The sequence below is a fragment of the Homo sapiens genome, chromosome Y (assembly GCF_000001405.40).
Source record: "Homo sapiens chromosome Y, GRCh38.p14 Primary Assembly".
Lineage (NCBI taxonomy): Eukaryota > Metazoa > Chordata > Mammalia > Primates > Hominidae > Homo > Homo sapiens.
This window is the reverse complement of record NC_000024.10, coordinates 856168-875464: the sequence shown is the minus strand read 5'-3', so window position 1 is coordinate 875464 and position 19297 is coordinate 856168. Positions and strand designations below refer to the sequence as shown.

The 19297-nt window shown below is 45.7% G+C and overlaps 10 annotated features.

Annotated features, from left to right (window-relative positions):
- Positions 502 to 19297: an enhancer, noted in NCBI's record as "18796 nt extended CNE9 fragment from 19kbCNE9-betalacZ transgene". NCBI's record gives its function as "enhancer in mouse E13.5 embryo fore and hind limbs, mostly restricted to the zeugopodium, also weakly in hindbrain, and in E13.5-14.5 radius and ulna mesenchyme" and the evidence as "EXISTENCE:transgenic organism evidence [ECO:0001131][PMID:23575226]".
- Positions 628 to 1460: an enhancer, noted in NCBI's record as "CNE9 PCR-amplified transgene fragment". NCBI's record gives its function as "enhancer in day 2 and day 3 zebrafish embryo eye, fin and blood" and the evidence as "EXISTENCE:transgenic organism evidence [ECO:0001131][PMID:21731768]".
- Positions 632 to 1456: an enhancer, noted in NCBI's record as "CNE9 fragment from short CNE9-betalacZ transgene". NCBI's record gives its function as "enhancer in mouse E12.5 neural tissues, including hindbrain and neural tube" and the evidence as "EXISTENCE:transgenic organism evidence [ECO:0001131][PMID:23575226]".
- Positions 633 to 1454: an enhancer, noted in NCBI's record as "CNE9 or ECS4 reporter construct fragment". NCBI's record gives its function as "enhancer in ovo in chicken limb buds, and in human U2OS osteosarcoma cells" and the evidence as "EXISTENCE:reporter gene assay evidence [ECO:0000049][PMID:16385461, PMID:17200153, PMID:22791839, PMID:26631348]".
- Positions 766 to 810: a conserved region, noted in NCBI's record as "conserved region; CRCNE00011105 more deeply conserved sub-region". NCBI's record gives the evidence for it as "EXISTENCE:sequence alignment evidence [ECO:0000200][PMID:21731768]".
- Positions 861 to 1009: a conserved region, noted in NCBI's record as "conserved region; CRCNE00011104 more deeply conserved sub-region". NCBI's record gives the evidence for it as "EXISTENCE:sequence alignment evidence [ECO:0000200][PMID:21731768]".
- Positions 7535 to 8560: a meiotic recombination region, noted in NCBI's record as "meiotic double-strand break mapped by DNA meiotic recombinase 1 chromatin immunoprecipitation followed by single-stranded DNA enrichment and sequencing on the Y chromosome in the germ cells of some male individuals with the PRDM9 A/A genotype". NCBI's record gives the evidence for it as "EXISTENCE:chromatin immunoprecipitation-seq evidence [ECO:0000229][PMID:25395542]".
- Positions 8043 to 8218: a mobile genetic element, noted in NCBI's record as "direction; reverse".
- Positions 8074 to 8086: a nucleotide motif, noted in NCBI's record as "nucleotide motif; similarity to the predicted 13-mer PRDM9 A binding motif (LD hotspot motif), CCNCCNTNNCCNC".
- Positions 8107 to 8108: a chromosome breakpoint, noted in NCBI's record as "proximal breakpoint sub-region, recombines with the distal breakpoint sub-region within the SHOX downstream enhancer, distal recombination region, resulting in a recurrent 47.5 kb deletion". NCBI's record gives the evidence for it as "EXISTENCE:nucleotide sequencing assay evidence [ECO:0000219][PMID:22791839]".

The following is a 19297-nucleotide window of genomic DNA, read 5'->3' as shown; positions in this document are numbered from 1 at the left end:
AATTAAAAAAAAAAAGAGCCAGACTCTGTCTCAAAAAATAAATAAATAAGCAAAAATTAAAAAAAGAGGAATTGTCATTCTATGTATAAAATGTTGGAAATGGAGAGTGGATTTGTCCTTAGCATTATTAAGATAAATTGCAGGGCTGAGATGGGGCAAATAAGAGAGGACCCAGAGATCCGGGTGTGGTGGTTCACGCCTATAATCCCACCATTTTGGGAGGCCGATGCCTGAGGATCACCTGAGGTCAGGAGTTCGAGACCAGCCTGGCCAACATGGTGAAGCTCTGTCTCTAATAAAAATACAAAAACTTAGCCAGGCGTGGTGGCGCGCGCCTGTCATCCCAGCTACTCGGGAGGCTGAGGCAGGAGAATCGCTTGAACCCGGGAGGCAGAGGTTGCAAAGCCAAGATTGCACCACTGCACTCCAGCCTGGGAAACAAGAGTGAAAAGCCGTCTCAAAAAAAAAAAAAAAAAAAAAGAGAGAGAGGACCCAGTGAGGTTTCTCAGGGTCCGTCTTGGAGGGTCCCAGTCGGCTCTGTGCAGCCCCGTCCTCCTGGCAGCCTCACGTACTCAGAAAACGGTCCAACAGTCCCAGGGGGACCCTCCCTACATCCCAGCCAGCCAGGCCTCTTGTGTCTGCAGTGTCCCCTTAACATAAATCTTGGTCCTGTAAAGCAGTCCACCTAAAGACGTCTCCGTGTGGTTTTTGAACACGGGAAGTTAATAATAAATATCATCTTTGTTTTCTAATTTTTTTTTTTTTTTTTTACTGAGTTGATTGAAATACCCGTGACAGCCCCAATCCAATCCTCGGGTGCAACGTGATACGGATGACAGGCGGTGTCTCTATGCAAACGTTCAGTTATGCAGAATCCAATGTTTTCTGGATTTTTAATTGAATCACTCGTCTCAAACTTGTTATTTTTAATTTACGACATTTGATTTCTGACACTGGCTTCTGCATCTCATCAATTATGCAGTCTGGAGACTCGGTTGCACGGGTGATTAAAAAAAAACTAATTAGGCAAGATTAAAATAAAAAAAAAAAAACCTAAAACAGAGACCTCTTAACTATGGACATGTTCCTGGGTAAAGGGAGGCTGATTTCACTGGAAATGCCTCATTTTCTTTGCAAGCGATTACGTTCGGTTTGGTACAATGTGATTGATTCTGACAGATGTGAAGGAACCCGGACTGTTTGCTTCCCCCTTCTCGAATATTCACCAGAAATTGCGTGACGCGGCCCGTTGATGTCAATTCCCCCCACAACTCATTGAATATAATTTTGTTAAGTGGGCAGGAAAAGGAAAATGAACAACGTGGAAGGGAACCCGGCGTTTTCTTTGGCAGCACGACGGGGTCGAGACAGGACTCTGTGCCCCACAGAGGAAACACAATTAGAGTTCCTGCCCTTTCAAGTCCTAGCTAATGACAGCAAAGAAGTAAAGTATAGGGGGAAAAAAAGTGCAACTTTTTGAAAAAAGGCCCTTCCTCATCCAGCAACGTGCAGGTTTTTTTTTTCTTTTTCTTTCTTTTTTTTTTTTAGACAGAGTCTGGCTCTGCCCCCCAGGCTGGAGTGCAGTGGTGCAATCTCGCTTCACTGCAACCTCCGCCTCCGAGGGTCAAGCGATCCTCCTGCCTCAGCCTCCCCAGTAGCTGGTGGTGGCGGGCGCCTGTAATCCCAGCTACTCGGGAGGCTTAGGCAGGAGGATCGCTTGAGCCTGGAAGGCGGAGGTTGCAGTGAGCAGAGATCATGTCACTGCACTCCAGCCTGGGGGACAGAGCAAGACTCCAATAAATAAATAAATAAAACTATCCAAATATGTATATTATATATAATTTAAATATATGTATACATTATATATAAATATATGTATACATTATATATAATTTAAATATATGTATACATTATATATAATTTAAATATATGTATACATTATATATAATTTAAATATATGTATACATTATATATAATTTAAATATATGTATACATTATATATAATTTAAATATATGTATACATTATATATAATTTAAATATATGTATATATTTTATATATATATATATATATTTCTTTATATATATATATATATATTTTTTGAGATGAGACCTTGCTCTGTTGCCAAGGCTGGAGGGCAGTGGCGTGATCTCGAGTCACTGCAACCTCTGCCTCCCAGGCTTAAGCAATCCTCCTGCCTCAGCCTCTCGAACAGCTGGGACCACACGCATGCACCACCATGCCCCACTAACTTTTGTATTTTTTAGAGTTGACGTCTCGCCATGCTGACCAGGCAAGGTGATGCACGCCTGTGGTCCCAGACACTCAGGAGCCTGGGGTGGGAGCATTGTTTGAGCCTGGGAGGCAGGGGCTGTAGTGAGCTGTGATTAAACCACTGTATTCCAGCCTGGGTGACAAAGTGAGACCTTGTCTCAAAAGGAAAAGAAGAAAAAAGGAAAGGAAAGGAAAGGAAGGGAAGGGGAGGGGAAAGGGAAGGGGAAGGGGAGGGGAGAGGAGGGGAAAGGAGGGGGAGAAGGCAGGGAAGGGGAGTGGACAGGGAAAGGGAGGAGAGGGGAGGGGAAGGGGAGGGGAAAAGGGAGGGGAGAGGGAGGGGAAGGGAGGGGAAGGGAGGGGAGAGGGGAAGGGGAGGGGAGAGGGGAAGGGGAGGGGAGAGGGAGGGGAGGGGAGAGGGAGAGGAGAGGAGGGGAAGGGAAGGGAGGGGAGAGGGGAAGGGAAGGGGAGGGGAGAGGAGGGGAGGGGAGAGGAGGGAAGGGGAGAGGAGGGAAGGGACGGGAAGGAAAGAAAAAAAAGAAATTGGAGAAAAGCATTAGGTTTTGGGACTGCAATTTCCAGCGGAGTTAATTCAACTTCTTTGACCAAATAACCAGCCACCCCGACCCCTGTCAATTAAACATCAGCCCCAGATTGCAAACCATTCTGAAGAATTTCGTTTACACACACACACACAGGCACAGTCACACACACATGCACACACACGTGCGTGCACACACACGTACACGCACACGCACACACATACACACACATACATGCATGCACACGCACACACACTCACATACATGCACACATGCACACTCACACATGTACATGCACATACACATGCACACACGCACACTCACACACATGCACGCACGCATGCACACACACATACATGCACACACGTATGTGCACACACATGCAACCTCACAGATTCATGCACACAGAATACATGCACACATACATACATGCACACCCATGCACGCACTCACATACATACATGCACACGTGCACGCATATGCACACTCACACACGTACATGCACATACACACATGCGTGCACACATGCACACACATGCGCGCACACACGAGCGCACACATACATGCACACACGCAACCTCACACACATTCATGCACACACATGCACAAACACACATGCGCATGCAGACACACACGTACCCACACATGCACAAGCTGAATGAGAATCCACCATCGTGTCATTATCGGGTTGATATTTATAGTTCCAAGCTCCAGGGGAAAGGCAGCATATGGAATATGGAGCAATCCTCCTGTAAAAGCTAATTTCTCAGCCTAATAGCTGGTCGCCGTGAAAGCCTTGAATTGCCGAAGGGGAATTAAGAAGTTAACTGCTGCCTGCCCTGATTTGTTGCGTTGCTTAAATTGCAAGGGGACCTCCGTTGCAACTCATGGATGGTGTGTCGGGTCTATGAAGGGGCCTAACCCCCAATTTCTCCCAAATTCCTGCCTAGATCCAAGGAACTTTTAGTCCATGCATGAGACTGTTGGAGAGGCTTTCCCTAAGAATTCCCGCAGAAGAGAAAGCATTCCTGGCAGAGAATTAGGCTCACCAAGTTCAGCCTGGTCTTCTCAAGAGACCACGATGCTGGCATGAGGAACATTTGACTTCTTTTTCATTTATTATTATTTTTTTTTGGAGAGGGAGTCTCGCTCTGTCACCCAGGCTGGAGTGCAGTGGCGTGATCTCTGCAACCTCCGCCTCCCGGGTTCAAGTGATTCTCCTGCCTCAGCCTCCGGAGTAGCTGGGATTACAGGCACACCACTACACCCTGCTAATTTTTATATTTTTAGTAGAGACGGGGTTTCACCATGTTGGCCAGGCTGGTCTTGAACTCCTGACCTCATGATCCTCCCGCCTCGCCTTCCCAAAGTGGTGGGATGACAGGCATGAGGCACCGCACCTGGCCAGAACATTTGACTTCTACCAGGCACGTTGGAAAGTGAACGCCGACCTCTCTGCATTCCCTGACTTATTTCCCCCAGAGTTTTCTTAGCTGGGAATCAGAAATGTGGCTTCCAACTTGATCCTTTCAAAGCTACAAACTCCAGCCAAACACACAGCATCAAGTCTTACTCATTACATCATTACAACCTTGGAACTGACACCGATAATTAGAAACGGGAAAAAAGAACAAATCTTTTTTTTTTTTTTTTTTTTTGAGACAGAGCCTCATTCTGTCAGCAGGCTGGAGTTCAGTGGCGCCATCTCGGCTCACTGCAACCGCCGCCTCCCAGGTTCAAGCGATTCTCCTGCCTCAGCCTCCCGAGTAGCTGGGATTACAGGAGTGAGCCACCACACCCCGCTAATTTTTGTATTTTTAGTAGAGACGGGGTGTCACCATGTTGGACAGCATGGTCTCGATCTCTTGACCTCATGATCCATCCACCTCAGCCTCCCAAAGCACTGGGATTACAGGCATCCACCACCACGCCCGGCTAATTTCTATATTTTTAGTAGAGATGGGGTTTCACCATGTCGGACAGTATGGTCTCCATCTCTTGACTTCATGATCTGTCTGCCTCAGCCTCCAAAAGCACTGGGATTACAGGCATCCACCATCATGCCCGGCTAATTTTTGTATTTTTAGTAGAGAAGGGGTTTCACCATGTTGGACAGTATGGTCTCGATCTCTTGACTTCATGTTCTGTCTGCCTCAGCCTCCAAAAGCACTGGGATTACAGGCATCCACCATCACGCCTGGCTAATTTTTGTATTTTTAGTAGAGATGGGGTTTCACCATGTTGAACAGCATGGTCTCGATCTCTTGACGTCATGATCCATCCACCTTGGCCTCCCAAAGCACTGGGATGACAGGCATCCACCACCATGCCCAGCTAATTTTTGTATTTTTAGTAGAGATGGGGTTTCACCATGTTGAACAGCATGGTCTCGATCTCTTGACCTCATGATCCATCCACCTTGGCCTCCCAAAGCACTGGGATGACAGGTATCCACCACCATGCCTGGCTAATTTCTGCATTTTTAGCAGAGATGGGGTTTCACCTTGTTGGACAGTACGGTCTCCATCTCTTGACTTCATGATCTGTCTGCCTCAGCCTCCAAAAGCACTGGGATTACAGGCGTGAGCCACCACGCTGGGCTAATCTTGAAAACTAGGCTCCTCATTGAGAGAGAAAAGGATTTTTCTGCATAGGAAGTTGGAGCCACGGTATGGAAGATTACCTTAAAATACTGCCATCTGCTTCACTAAAAACAAAAAAAAAACAAAAATCAATGACTTTCCGTTTCCTTCAAAAACATGTCTGTTGTGAACTGAATTGTGTTTCTTCAAAATATCTGTTAAGGTCCTAACTGTACATACCTGTGAACGTGGTGTTGTAGGAAATAGGGTCTTTGCAGATATTATGGACGTATAATGAGGAAAGACTGGAGCAGAGGGGATGCTCAATCCAATCAGTCGCGTCCTGGTAAAAAGAGGGAAGTTTCCATACACTTAGAGAGGAGAAGTCCACATAGAGACGGAGGCAGAGACTGGAGTGATGGGGCCACAAGCCCAGGGACGCCTGGAGCCCCCAGGAGCTGGGAGAGGCAGAAAGGACCCTCCCCTAGAGCCTCCAGAAGGAACTGAACACAATTCTAGTAGATTGAATGGTGATCCCTAAGAAACACGTTTATGTCCTGACTCATAGAACCTGTGAATGAAACCCTTCTTGAAAACAGAGTATTTGCAGATGTAATAAATTAAGGATATTGAGATGAGATCATCCTGGATTAGGGTGGATTCTAATTCCAATAACAAGTGTCCTTGTAAGAGACAGAAGAGGAGACACAGACACAGAGGAGAAGGCCACATGGAGATGGCAGCAGAGACTGGAGTGAAGCGGCCACAAGCCCAGGGATGCCTGGAGCCCCCAGGACCTGGGAGAGGCAGGAAGGACCCTCCCCTACAGCCTCCAGAGGGAAGATAATACAATTGTTTTGAATTGAACTACAGTCCCCCTAAAGGCTATCTCTACAGCCTAACTTCCAGAATATGTGAATGGCACGTTAATTGGATATAAGGTCTCTGCAAATGTAACTAAGTCAAGGATTTCTACATGAGATCATCCTGGAGTAGGGTGGGTCCTAAATGCAATGGCAGGTGTCTTTCTAAGAGACAGAAGAGGAGACACAGACACAGAGGAGAAGGCCACGTGGAGACGGAGGCAGAGACTGGAGTGATGCGGCCACAAGCCCAGGGACGCCTGGAGCCCCCAGGAGCTGGGAGAGGCAGGAAGGACCCTCCCCTAGAGCCTCCAGGAGGAACTAAACACAATCATAGTGGACCCAATACTGGCCTTCCTGGAGTCCAGAAGTCCTCCCTGTCTCTCCTCCATCTCCACGTGGCCTTCTCCTCCGTGTCTGTGTCTCCTCTTCTGTCTCTTAGAAAGACACCTGTCATTGCATTTAGGATCCACCTTACTTCAGGATGATCTCATGTTGAAATCCTTAACTACCTGCATCTGCAGAAACCCTATTTCCAAATAAGGTCCCGTTCACAGGCTATGAGACTGAGGATGTATATACAGTTTTTAGGAGGACTGTAGTTCAGGACGCGGAGAGATGAAATTTTTCTTGTTTGATCCTCTGGTTTTTGGCATCTTGTGACAGCATCCCCAGGAAACCCTTACAATATCTAAACCTTTTTCTTCTTCCAAGCGCTAGTCTGTCCGTTCCCTTCCCTTATCTGCCTCATCCCCTTGCCTCCGGAGTCCACCCTCATGGATCAGAGAGCAGAGAGTCAGGGCTCACGGCCTCAAGAGAGACACCCCCAAGCAGGGCCAATCCAATCCCCCACACTGCCCGTTTTCCAGCCCGTTACATTGCAGATGCCAGTTTGTGGTGAAAACATCCAGAACAGGTTTAGGCAGGAAGAGACGCAGCGTCTCAGCCCACCAGCCTACGGGAAGAAAGGGTGCTTGCAGCTGACCGTCTCATCTCTGCCTTGCTTTTCTGAGTCTGGGTTAAACTGCCACAGTGTCCGGAACCCGCTTACTCTGTCAACCCATCAGCAGCGATATGAGCTCACAGGAGCTTGTGGTTTCGTGCCCACACCCTTGAAATAGGTGCCCAAACTGCCATGCCCAAGATGTAGACGGGTAAGCTCCCTTTTACACCCCAAAGTCTCATTCTTTGAAGACCCCTCGTCAACAAGGATTACAATCTTTATATTTCCTGCACAAACCAGACATTAAAAAAAGAAGAAGAAAAAAACCCCACCAAAATGGCTCTTATTGATGACTGGAGAAATTCGAAACCCAGAGCAGCCCCTTTTAAAGTCAGTGGTGCCAAATCTATGAAAATGCAAAATCCTTTCCAGAATTTCACACACACACACATACACACTCTTCTCTAGGGACGTCGTTACAGGCTCATAAAAAGTCAAATTGCCATTCCCGCAGTGCTCCAATAATTTATACGTATCATTTGCTGTAGCGTCGGTGCGTTGGCCGGCTGACCTGACCACCTACGTACACACGGAGCCCTGGAACCCTCCACCCTGTCTTAGGAAGACAGGAATTTGCAATCAGAGGAGAGTTCCAAAGCCCAGTATCAATGTGGGTTTCTGAGTGAAAACACAAAAGCAAATGAATGCCTTCTCAAGAGCCAGCCCCCAAGTTTACAACCCAATCATCTCCTAGCTGGCCCAAGAAGCACCTAATGATAACTATATCTTTATCAAGGTGGTACATTTTCTGACTCTTACTGTCATCACAGAAAAATAATCGTGACCATCATACTCTGGGGACTGTGGTGGGGTGGGGGGACGGGGGAGGGATAGCATCGGGAGATACACCTAATGTTAAATGACGAGTTAATGGGTGCACCACACCAGCATGGCACATGGATACATATGTAACTAACCTGCACATTGTGCACCTGTACCCTAAAACTTAAAGTATAATAATAATAAAATAAAAAATAAAAAAATAAAAAAATAAAAAAAATGTCATATCTGCCTATTAAAAAGATTAGAAGCAAAAAATAATAATAATAATAATCGTGACGACGTCTCGGAAAAGACGGAGTTAATTTTGCTGAGGTTGACTTGGCTGTGTGGACATAAGACTCCTTTTCCTGCTTCAATCCTGGATTCTTTTTTTTTTTTTTTTTTTTGCTTCTAATCTTTTTAATAGGCAGATATGATATTTTTTTTTATTTTTTTATTTTTTTTTTACATTTTTTTTTCCCCATGAGGACGCCAAAGTTCAGGAGAAGTTGGCAACACAGCGAAACATTCATACCTCTGCAAAGCCCAGGTCTTTAGCCTGTGTGGCTGTTTCATAACTTTGCAACTGTTTGACCCGGCCTTTTTAACGACCGGCCATAAAACCCAAGCTAATTAGTGGCGGCAGGAAGCGGGCCCCACGTCTGGCCTCCCCACATTCTGGGGTGAGCCCGTGACTCCTGCTCACACTTTGCTGCAAACCCCACGTTTATCCCAAAGTCATTTGTCTTTACACCTCGGACCAGCCAAGGGCGAGAGTGGCTTAAAACAAGAGCGGCATCCAAGTAATTTTCCCATAGAGGGGGAAGCAAACAAAGGTCCCCATGATGGACGCTGCAAATCGGTGCTTCCTTGTAGAAATGGTCTATGGACATGTCTATGTAGAAACGGTCATTTTTTCCTTGAAAAATTAAATCTCAGAGCATTAGTTAACTTCTGCAATGAGCCCACACGCCTCATTCTTCTTTTTTCAGTTCTAAAACGGCAGGAAACCTACATTAAACTGTGTTGTGTGTCCATGTGTGTCTTGAGTGCGTGTGTTGTGTTTATGATGTGTTTGTGCGTGTGTCTCTTGTGTGTTGTGTGTCTGTTGAGCGTGTTGTGTGTGTGTCTGTTGTGTGTTGTGTATGTGTGTGTCTGTTGAGTGTGTTGTGTTGTGTATAGATGTGTGTGTCTTGTATATATGATGTGTTTGTGCGTGTCTCTTGTGTGTTGTGTGTGTTGAGCGTGTTGTGTGTCTGTTGTGTGTTGTGTATGTGTGTGTCTGTTGATTGTGTTGTGTATAGATGTGTGTGTCTTGTATATATGATGTGTTTGTGCGTGTGTCTGTGTGTTGTGTGTCTGTTGAGCGTGTTGTGTATGTGTCTGTTGTGTGTTGTGTATGTGTGTGTCTGTTGAGTGTGTTGTGTTGTGTATAGATGTGTGTGTCTTGTATATATGATGTGTTTGTGCGTGTGTCTCTTGTGTGTTGTGTGTCTGTTGAGCGTGTTGTGTGTGTGTCTGTTGTGTGTTGTGTATGTGTGTGTCTGTTGAGTGTGTTGTGTTGTGTATAGATGTGTGTGTCTTGTATATATGATGTGTTTGTGCGTGTCTCTTGTGTGTTGTGTGTCTGTTGAGCATGTTATGTTGTGTGTGTGTCTGTTGTTTCTGTGTCTGTTCAGTGTGTTGTGTTGTGTATAGATGTGTGTGTCTTCTATATATGATGTGTTTGTGCATTTGTCTGTTGAATGTGTGTTGCGTATTAGTGTCTGTTGATCCCATGTGTGGTATTGTGTATATACATGTGTGTTCTGTATAGATGTTGTGTCTTGCGTGTGTGTCTGTTAAGCATGTGTGGTATTGTGTATATACATGGGTGTTGTGGATAGATGTTATTTCTTGATTGTGTGTTTGTGTGTGTCTGTTGTGTGTATACGTGTGTTCTCTATAGATGTGTCTTGACTGTGTTGTGTGTGTGTCTGTTGATTGTGTGTGGCATTGTGTATACACATATGTGTTGTGTATAGATGTTGTGTCTTCAGTGTGTCTTGTGGGTGTGTCTGTTAAGCATGTGTGGTATTGTGTATATACATGTGTGTTGTGTATAGATGTTGCTTCTTGACTGTGTGTTGTGTGTGTGTGTCTGTTGTGTATATACACGTGTGTTCTATGTAGATGTGTCTTGAGTGTATGTTGTGTGTGTGTGTTGATCGTGTGTGGCATTATTTATATATATGTGTGTCGTGTACAGCCGTTGTGTCTTGAGTGTGTGTTGTATGTGTATGATATGTTTGTGTCTGTTGACTGTGTGTTGTGTATGCGTGCGTGTGTCTGTTGAGCGTGCTGTGTTGTGTCTATACATGTACGTTGTCTAAAGGTGTGTGTGTGTGTCTTGAGTGTCTGTGTTGTGTATGGATCTGTGTTTGCACCTCGGACCAACCAAGGGGGAAAGTGGGTTGAAGCAAGATTGGTATTGGCCGGGCGCGGTGGCTCACGCCTGTCATCCCAGCACTTTGGGAGGCCGAGGCGGGTGGATCACGAGGTCAGGAGATCGAGACCATCCTGGCTAACACGGTGAAACCCCGTCTCTACTAAAAATACAAAAAAATAGCCTGGCGTGGTGGCACACGCCTGTCATCCCAGCACTTTGGGAGGCTGAGACGGGCAGATCACCTGAGGTTAGGGGTTCGAGACCAGCCTGCCCAACATGATGAAACCCCGTCTCTCTACTAAAAATACAAAAAATTAGCCAGGCAGGGTGGCGGGTGCCTGTCATCCCAGCTACTCGGGAGGCGGAGGCAGGAGCATCACTTGAACCCGGGAGGCGGAGGTTGCAGCGAGCCGAGATCGTGCCACTGCACTCCAGCCTGGGCTGCAGAGCGAGACTCTATCTCACACACACACAAAAAGGCTGTGGGGAGGCAGATAATTTGTAACAATTCAATCCTGCAGCTTTCCACCTGCAAAAGCACCGCATGGTATTTGATGAACCTTTTTTTTTTTTTTTTTTTTTTTTTTCCCAGACGGTGCCTCGCTCTTTTGCCCAGGCTGGAGTGCAGTGGCACAATTTTGGCTCACTGCAACCTCCGCTTCCCGGGTTCAAGTGATTCTCCTGCCTCAGCCTCGCGAGTAGCTGGGATGACAGGCACCCGCCACCACGCCTGGCTCATTTTTGTATTTTTAGTAGAGATGGGGTTTCGCCATGTTGGTCAGGCTGGTCATAATTAACGTCTTGTTGGGTTTAACTCGAAATGCAAAAACGTCGAGTCTGTACAGCCTATATTTGTAGGTTTATTGCAGTTCACTTCCTTTGGCTGCTAGACCACACGTAATTCATGGCAAACTCTAGGAGGAAAAGAAAAAGAGAGAAAGAGAGAAAAAACAAAAACAAAAACAAAAACAGAGTTTCCACCATTCCATCATTCCCCTTCTTTATTCATTCTGTTTGGTGCCTTAAAAAAATCATTAAAGAAAACATATATAAAATGTAGATTTACTGTTGACGTTTTTAATTTGGACTCAAGACACTCATCTGTTGAGCACACGCTGGAGTGAAAGACACCGTCTGCTGTAACTTAAAGTGTCTGGGCCGGGCGCAGTGGCTCACGCCTGTCATCCCAGCACTTTGGGAGGCCGAGGCGGGTGGATCACGAGGTCAGGAGATCGAGACCATCCTGGCTAACACGGTGAAACCCCATCTCTACTAAAAACACAAAAAAATTAGCCGGGCGTGGGGGCAGGTGCCTGTAGTCCCAGCTACTCAGGAGGCTGAGGCAGGAGAGTGGCTTGAACCCGGGAGGCGGAGCTTGCAGTGAGCCGAGATCGCGCCACTGCACTCCAGCCTGGGCCACAGAGCAAGACTCCATCTCAAAAAAAAAAAAAAAAAAAAAAAAAAAGCCATCGTACCCGGCCAGGAAAAGAGTTTAAATGCTTTTGGAGTTACAGGGGAAGGAAGCTGAGCTTGTGTCCAAAGGCATGGAGGGCCCTTTCTCGGGGGCTGGAAAGCATCTCTCTCTGTGCAGAGTGACAGGTGACAACATCATCTTTCACCACAGAGCCCAGGAAAAGCTGATTCTGAGAGTTAGTACGATGTTGCCTGTTATGAAAATGAAACCAAAATGATCCTACATAGGAGTGATCTTTTTGGGTTTAGGGTTGGTAACACCCATCTACACCGGGGCTTAAAATGTGTGGGTCCTAGGCTGGGCGCGGTGGTTCACACCTGGAATCCCAGCACTTTGGGAGGCCGAGGCAGGTGGATTATCTGAGGTCAGGAGTTCGAGACCAGCCTGGTCAACATGGTGAAATCCCATCTCCACTAAAAATACAAAAATTAGCCGGGCGTGGTGGCGTGCACCTGTAGTCCCAGCTACTCGGGAGGGTGAGGCAGGAGGATTTCTTGAACCTGGGAGGTGGAGGTTGCAGTGAGCTGAGATGGCACCATTGCACTCCAGCCTGGGTCCATCTCAAAAAAAAAAAAAAAGGGATGAAACATCTGATCCAAAAGAGATTGGGTCTGCCGGGCGCGCTGGCTGACGCCTGTAATCCCAGCACTTTGGGAGGCCGAGGTGGGTGGACCACAAGATCAGGAGATCGAGACCATCCTGGCTAACACAGTGAAACCCCGTCTCTACTACAAAAAAAATACAAAAAATTAGCCGGGCGTGGTGGCGGGCGCCTGTAGTCCAAGCTCTCGGGAGGCTGAGGCATACCCGGGAATGGCGTGAACCCGGGTGGTGGAGCTTGCAGTGAGCCGAGATCACGCCACTGCACTCCAGCCTGGGCGACAGAGTGAAAGTCCATCTCAAAAAATAATAATAATAATAATAAAAGGGATGAAGTATCCGAGAAATACCAAAAGAGGTTCACCTAGACTACCAAAAGAGATTGGGTAAAGAAAACCCAAAACACACACACACACACACACACACACACACACACACGCACACAGAGAGAGGGAATTGGAGAATGCGGTTTGTTAAAATGAGGTTTCTGAGAGACCCAAATTGCAGGTGTGCGAGGACCTGACAGTGGTTACGATTTCCCGACTGTGTCTGTGTTCCGGGGTCTGACCCTGCCTGGGGCCACCCTCAGGAGGAAGGAGGTCATTTTCATCCCAAATGTTCACTTTCTTTGATGATTGCATTTTCCTCCTTTCCACGATGAGGAATCCACAGACTAAAGAGTTAATATGTGTTAAACTGTGAGTTGCAACTTCCTCTGACTTTCTTCCCAGCTGGATTTCAGAGCACTGTTCCAGAATCTTACCTGACGCCCATGAATTGTGCATACGGGTCCGCCCCCTGGGACACACGATGTCTCCTTGCTGTTTAGGCAAAAAGACAACCATATGCTGTGTGCACTGCCTGAACCCCTTGGATAGGAGTCCTGGGCGGACGACGAGTTATTTGGGGATTGAAGTGTTTCCATTTGGGAGGAGTCCATTTAAGAAAAAAAAAAAAGAATGCAAAATCACAGAAGTGACTGTGTGTCCTTGTACACGGGGGCTTGAAATGTGGGTCCTGGCTGTGGACTGTGTGTCTGTCTACACCGGGGGTTAAATATGGGTCCTGCCTGTGGACTGTGTGTCTGTCTACACCGGGGGTTAAATGTGGGTCCTGCCTGTGGACTGTGTGTCTGTCTACACCGGGGGTTAAATGTGGGTCCTGCCTGTGGACTGTGTGTCCATCTATACGGGGGCTTGAAATGTGGGTCCTGGCTGTGGACTGTGTGTCTGTCTACACGGGGGCTTCAAATGTGGGTCCTGGCTGTGGGCTCTGTCTAGGGAATGTCTATGGAATGTATTGTTCATCCGAGATGGGGTACAGAAACAGAAAGGGCCAGCAGTCTCAACTCTTACCAGGAGGCCGGCCAAATACCTTCTGCAAATGTCACAGAAAAATATGTGACTCCATGAACACACAGCTTGGGCCCTTCCCCACGTCGGGAACGCAGCTCTTGTTTCTTTCTGACCTGCTCACTCAGGGCGAAGCTTCCTGTCCTGGTGGTGGAGATAAACCTCCTTCTGTCAGGCTGGAGTTTTCTTCTGGGATTCCCGGAGCAGGAGGGACGTCTTTTCCTCTACGTTCCGAGCAAAGTTCAGAGGGGTTGTGGGAGGACAGAGCTGGGGTAGTGTCTGATACTCGAATAAGATATCCTTCTTCTTGATTCTATATCACCCTTCATGTGTCTTCACAATATTAAAGACAGGGGCAGGTGATTCTCCTGCCTCAGCCTCCCAAGTAGCTGGGATTACAGGTGCCCGCCACCACGCCCGGCTAATTTTTGTATTATTAGTACAGATGGGGTTTCACCATGTTGGACAGACTCATCTCGAACTCCTGACCTCAAGTAACCCGCCCGCCTTGGCCTCCCAAAGTGCTGGGATTACAGGCGTAATCTCACCCCATCCACTGTGGGTGGGGATGTAAATTCGTGCAACCGCAATGGGGAGCAATTTGGAGGTTCCCTTACAAATCGAGCTATCGTAATTGGGGAGGCCGAGGCAGGCAGATCACCTGAGGCCAGGAGTTCGAGACCAGCCTGGCCAACATGGTGAGACCCCGTTTCTACTAAAAATATATTAAAAAAAAAATTAGCCAGGAGTGTCGGCTGGTGCCTTAATCCAGCTACTGGGGAGGCTGAGGCAGGAGAATCACTTGAACCCGGGAGGTGGAGGTTGCGGTAAGCCGAGATCCCATCACTGCTCTCCAGGCTGGGCAACAGAGTGAGACTCCGTCTCAAAATAATAATAATAACAATAAATAAAATAAAATAGAGCTACCATAGAATTCAGCAATCATACTCACTGATGGGCATACACCCTCAATAAAAGAAGTCAGTATATTGAAGTTTAGGAGGCCGAGGCTTGTGGATCGCCTGAGGTCAGGAGTTGGAGACCAGCCTGGCCAACATGGTGAAACCCCGTCTCTACTAAAAATACAAAAAAGTAGGATTACTGAATTCTATGGTAGCTCTATTTTATTTTATTTTATTTTATTTTATTTTGAGATACCTGCAATCTCATAGTATATTGCAGCACTGTTCCCAAGAGCTGAGATTGGGAAACAACGTAAGTGTTCATCAACAGGTGAATGGATAAAGAAAATGAGCCGGGCGAGGGGGCTCACGCTTGTAATCCCAGCACTTTGGGAGGCCGAGGCAGATGGATCACTTGAGGTCAGGAGTTCGAGACCAGCCTGGCCAACACAGTGGAAACCTGTCTCTCATAAAAATACAAAAATGAGCCGGGCGTGGTGGCGGGTGCCCGTAATCCCAGCTACTTGGGAGGCTGAGGCAGGAGAATCGCTTGAACCTGGGAGGCAGAGGTTGCAGTGAGCTGAGATCACGCCACTGCACTCCCGCCTGAGTCACAGAGAGAGACTGCTCAAAAAAAAAAAAAAAAAAAAAAAAAAAAGAAGAAGAAGAAGAAAAGGCCGGGCAGGGTGGCTCACGCCTGTAATCCCAGCACTTTGGTAGGCCGAAGAGGGCAGATCACAAGGTCAAGAGATCGAGACCATCCTGGCTAACACGGTGAAGCCCCATCTCTACTAAAAATAGAAAAATCAGCTAGGCATGGTGGTGGGCGCCTGTCATTCCAGCTATTCCGGACGCTGAGGCAGGAGAATCGCTTGAATCTGGGAGACAGAGGTTGCAGTGAGCCGAGATCGCACCACTGCACTCCACCCTGGGTGACAGAGCGAGACTCTGTCAAAAAAAAAAAAAGAGAGGAGAGAGAGAGAGAGACAGAAAGAAAGAAAGGAAGGAAGGAAGAAAGGAAGGAAGAAAGAAAGAAAGAGAAAGGAAGGAAGGAAGAAAGAAAGAAAGAGAAAGAAAGAAAGAAAGAAAAAGAAAGAAAGAATGAAAGAAAGAAAAAGAAAGAAAGAAGAGAAAAGTGTTACACATATGGAATGGAATACTATTCAGCCATGAAAAAGAATGAGATCTTGCCATTTGCAATAAAACGGATGGTCATTATGTTCAGTGAAATAAGCCAGGCACAGAAAGACAAACTCTTCATGTTCTCACTTATTTGCAGGAGCTAAAATTGAAAACAATTGAACTCATGGAAATAGAAGAGTAGAAGGCTGGTTCTCAGAGGCTGAGAAAGATAGTGGGGAGTTTGTGTGGAAGAGGTGGGGAAGGTTAATGTGTACCAACAAATAATTAGAAAGAATAAATAAATCCTAGTTTTTGCTAGCATAACAGGGTGAGTATCATCAATAATCACTTCATCGTACATTTGTAAATAACTAAACGAGCATAATTGAATTGTAACACAAAGCCTCAATGCTTGAGTTCATGGATATCTTATTTACCCTAATGTGATTACTGCATATTGCATGTGGGCATGAAAACGTCTCACCTACCCCGTAACTATATACACCTACTATGTACTTGCAGTAATTAAAAAAATGAATAAAGACAGGAGTAGAGCAGGGGAGAATCCAATGAATAATTTGTCCCCACATTTATCAAAGGAGGTAAAGAGATAGAAACAGGGAAGACTTCCTGGGGGTTGACCATGGAGGGGGAAAAAAAATTCAATATTTCATTCACTTCCTTTAAAAAAAAATCAATGTAAAATTTCTTTTCTTTTCTTTTTCTTTTCTTTTATCTCCTCTTCTTCTTTTTTTCTTTTCTTCTTTTCTTTTCTCCCTTCCCTTCCTTTCCCTTCCCTTCCCTTCTCTTCCCTTCCCTTCTTTTGCCTTCCCTTCTTTTCTCTTCCTTCCCTTCCCTTCCCTTCCTTTTGTTTTCTTCCCTTCCCTTCCCTTCCTTTTGTTTTCTTCTCTTCCCTTCCCTTTTTTCTTTTCTTCTCTTTTCCTCTTGCTGGTAGCCAGCAACATATGTGAGACTTTGGTTACACCAAGAGATGAAACTCTGTGTTCCCTCAAACAAAAACCACCCAAACAGAGTTGGAGACTTTGTGGGTCCCAAGGTGGGGAGGTGAAGGAGTTATGGGGTTACAGAAGAACAGTGATAGGACGGGATTTTTTTTAGGAGATTTTCCCCAATCAGGGGTAGAGTAAGCTGTGTTTGTTTTGTGCTACACCTGCCTTGGGGAAGTAGGAGATCATGGAGGTCACCCTGGTCTCCCAAACTGGAGAGCCCACCCCAAAATCTACATCAGTAAGACGCACACCATCTCCACCATTTCTTAGAGTGTGGCTTGCAGCGACTGAGGTATGTGGGGGCGAATTAGACTCTTTACCTCATTATTTAGTGCTGTATTTGTGAGACGATACGCAATGCCGCTATTATTTTCAAGATGAAGAAAGTCACCGTGCATAGCAACCACCAGGAATCCGAAGGAGTTGCTATTCCTGCCTTCCACACACCCGGCTCTGTTTTCTGATGCCCACCCTGATTCTTGGGAGCCTATATTCCAGTCCACCACACGTTGCCCCATGACCACAAATTTAATTTTCCATAAATAAATCAATGTAAAATTTCTTTTCTTTTCTTCCTTTCTCTTCCCTTTCTTTTCTTTTCCTGTCTTTTCTTTTATCTTCTTTTCTTTTCTTTTTCTTCATTCTTTTCTTTTCTTCCTTTCCCTTCCCTTCCCTTCCCTTTCCTTCCCTTCCCTTCCTTCTCTTCCCTTCCCCTCCCTTCTCTTCTCTTCTCTTCTTCTCTTCTCTTCTCTTCTCTTCTCTTCTCTTCTCTTTTCTTTTCTTTTTTTTTCTTTTCTTCTTTTCCCATCTTGCTGGGAGCCAGCAACATATGTGAGACTTTGGATACACCAGAAGATGAAACTCTGTGTTCCTCCAAAGAAAAACCACCCAAGCACAGTTGAAGACCTTACGGGTCCCATGGGGACCATGAAGGAAAATTTATGGAAAATTAAGGTATTTTCCACTGATCTGTGTAGATATCTGCCATTTCATCGTTAAAAATTACAGCTTTGCATTCCAGAGCGCGGGCTCGTGGTAACAAGTCATTCCTATGCACTTCCTGCCTCTCATCCCAATTATAATTCAAATATAAATGCAGCCTGAGACTTATATGGAATAATTATTTTATGAATTATCAGCCATTGTGGCTTCAAGGTTTTTGTTTGTTTGTTTTGTGTTTTCGTTTTTGTTTTTCTGAGAAATTCATGCCGATAGAACCCTGGGAATAAAAATAAAATAAAACTCCATATTGTGAGTAAATAACCGACTCTCTTCTCTCATCTAGACTCTAAGAGCCTTCCCCACGGCCACTTCTAAATTAATTGCTCTTACTCTCCCTCCAGTTTTTGCTTTTCCTGGGTAGAAGGTAGATTAATATGCAACACGTCTGGCTTCTGTAATCCAAGCCTGCATTGCTTTGTCATCCTGAAAAGGATCCGGCCATGACTCAGTGGCCTGTAATCTTCCACTTTGGAGACCCCTCGGGAGGCAGAGAGATTTGTACAGGCATGGAGAGGAACTCCAAAAACCACAGGGGCCATTCAAAAAGCAGACATGCAACTTACAGAACATCGTAAAGTTATAATTCCTAAAACAAGCCTAGTGAAAAAAAAAAAAAAGAAATCCAGTTCTGTCTACTCCAATTCATATAACTCATAATGCTTTTTTTTTTTTTAATTTGAAAACTTTGGACTATTATTTGGAAAGGCCGATGTGACCCCACTTGATTGATTTCAACATTGATCGCTACGAATCAGGAAAAAGAATTAAGCGTTTTTCCTACAAGCTCATTTCTCAACGCCACAAGGGATTTGGAAAGGAACTGCTTTAAGATGTCAGAAGAATACTCAAGGACATTTATCTCAAATGCCTGTATTTAAAAATTGCATTAAAAAATAGGTTTCGAATTCTATGGTGAGCTATAATATCATCCAGTGATTTCTGCCACAGTAATACGACCACGTGTACCCTGGTCAGTAATCTGAGAGTCAGCGGGATGAATAACTGCCTGGATGTGACAGCGTCTGTTTAAAACGGCTCACACTGTTTCTTGAAATGTTTCTACAGTGGAAATCTTGCCTGTCTTGGAGAACTGCAAAGTCACTTTATTATTATTAATTATTATTATTATTATTATACTTTAAGTTGTGTGAGATACATGTGCAGAACGTGCAGGTTTGTTACATAGGTATACACGTGCCATGGTGGTTTGCTGCACCCATCGACCCGTCATCTACATTAGGTATTTGTCCTAATGCTATCCCTTCCCTAACCCTCCACCCCCCAGCAAGCCCTGGTGTGTGATGTTCCCCTCCCTGTGTCCATGTGTTCTCATTGTTCAACTTCCACTGATGAGTGAGAACATGCGGTGTTTGGTTTTCTGTTCC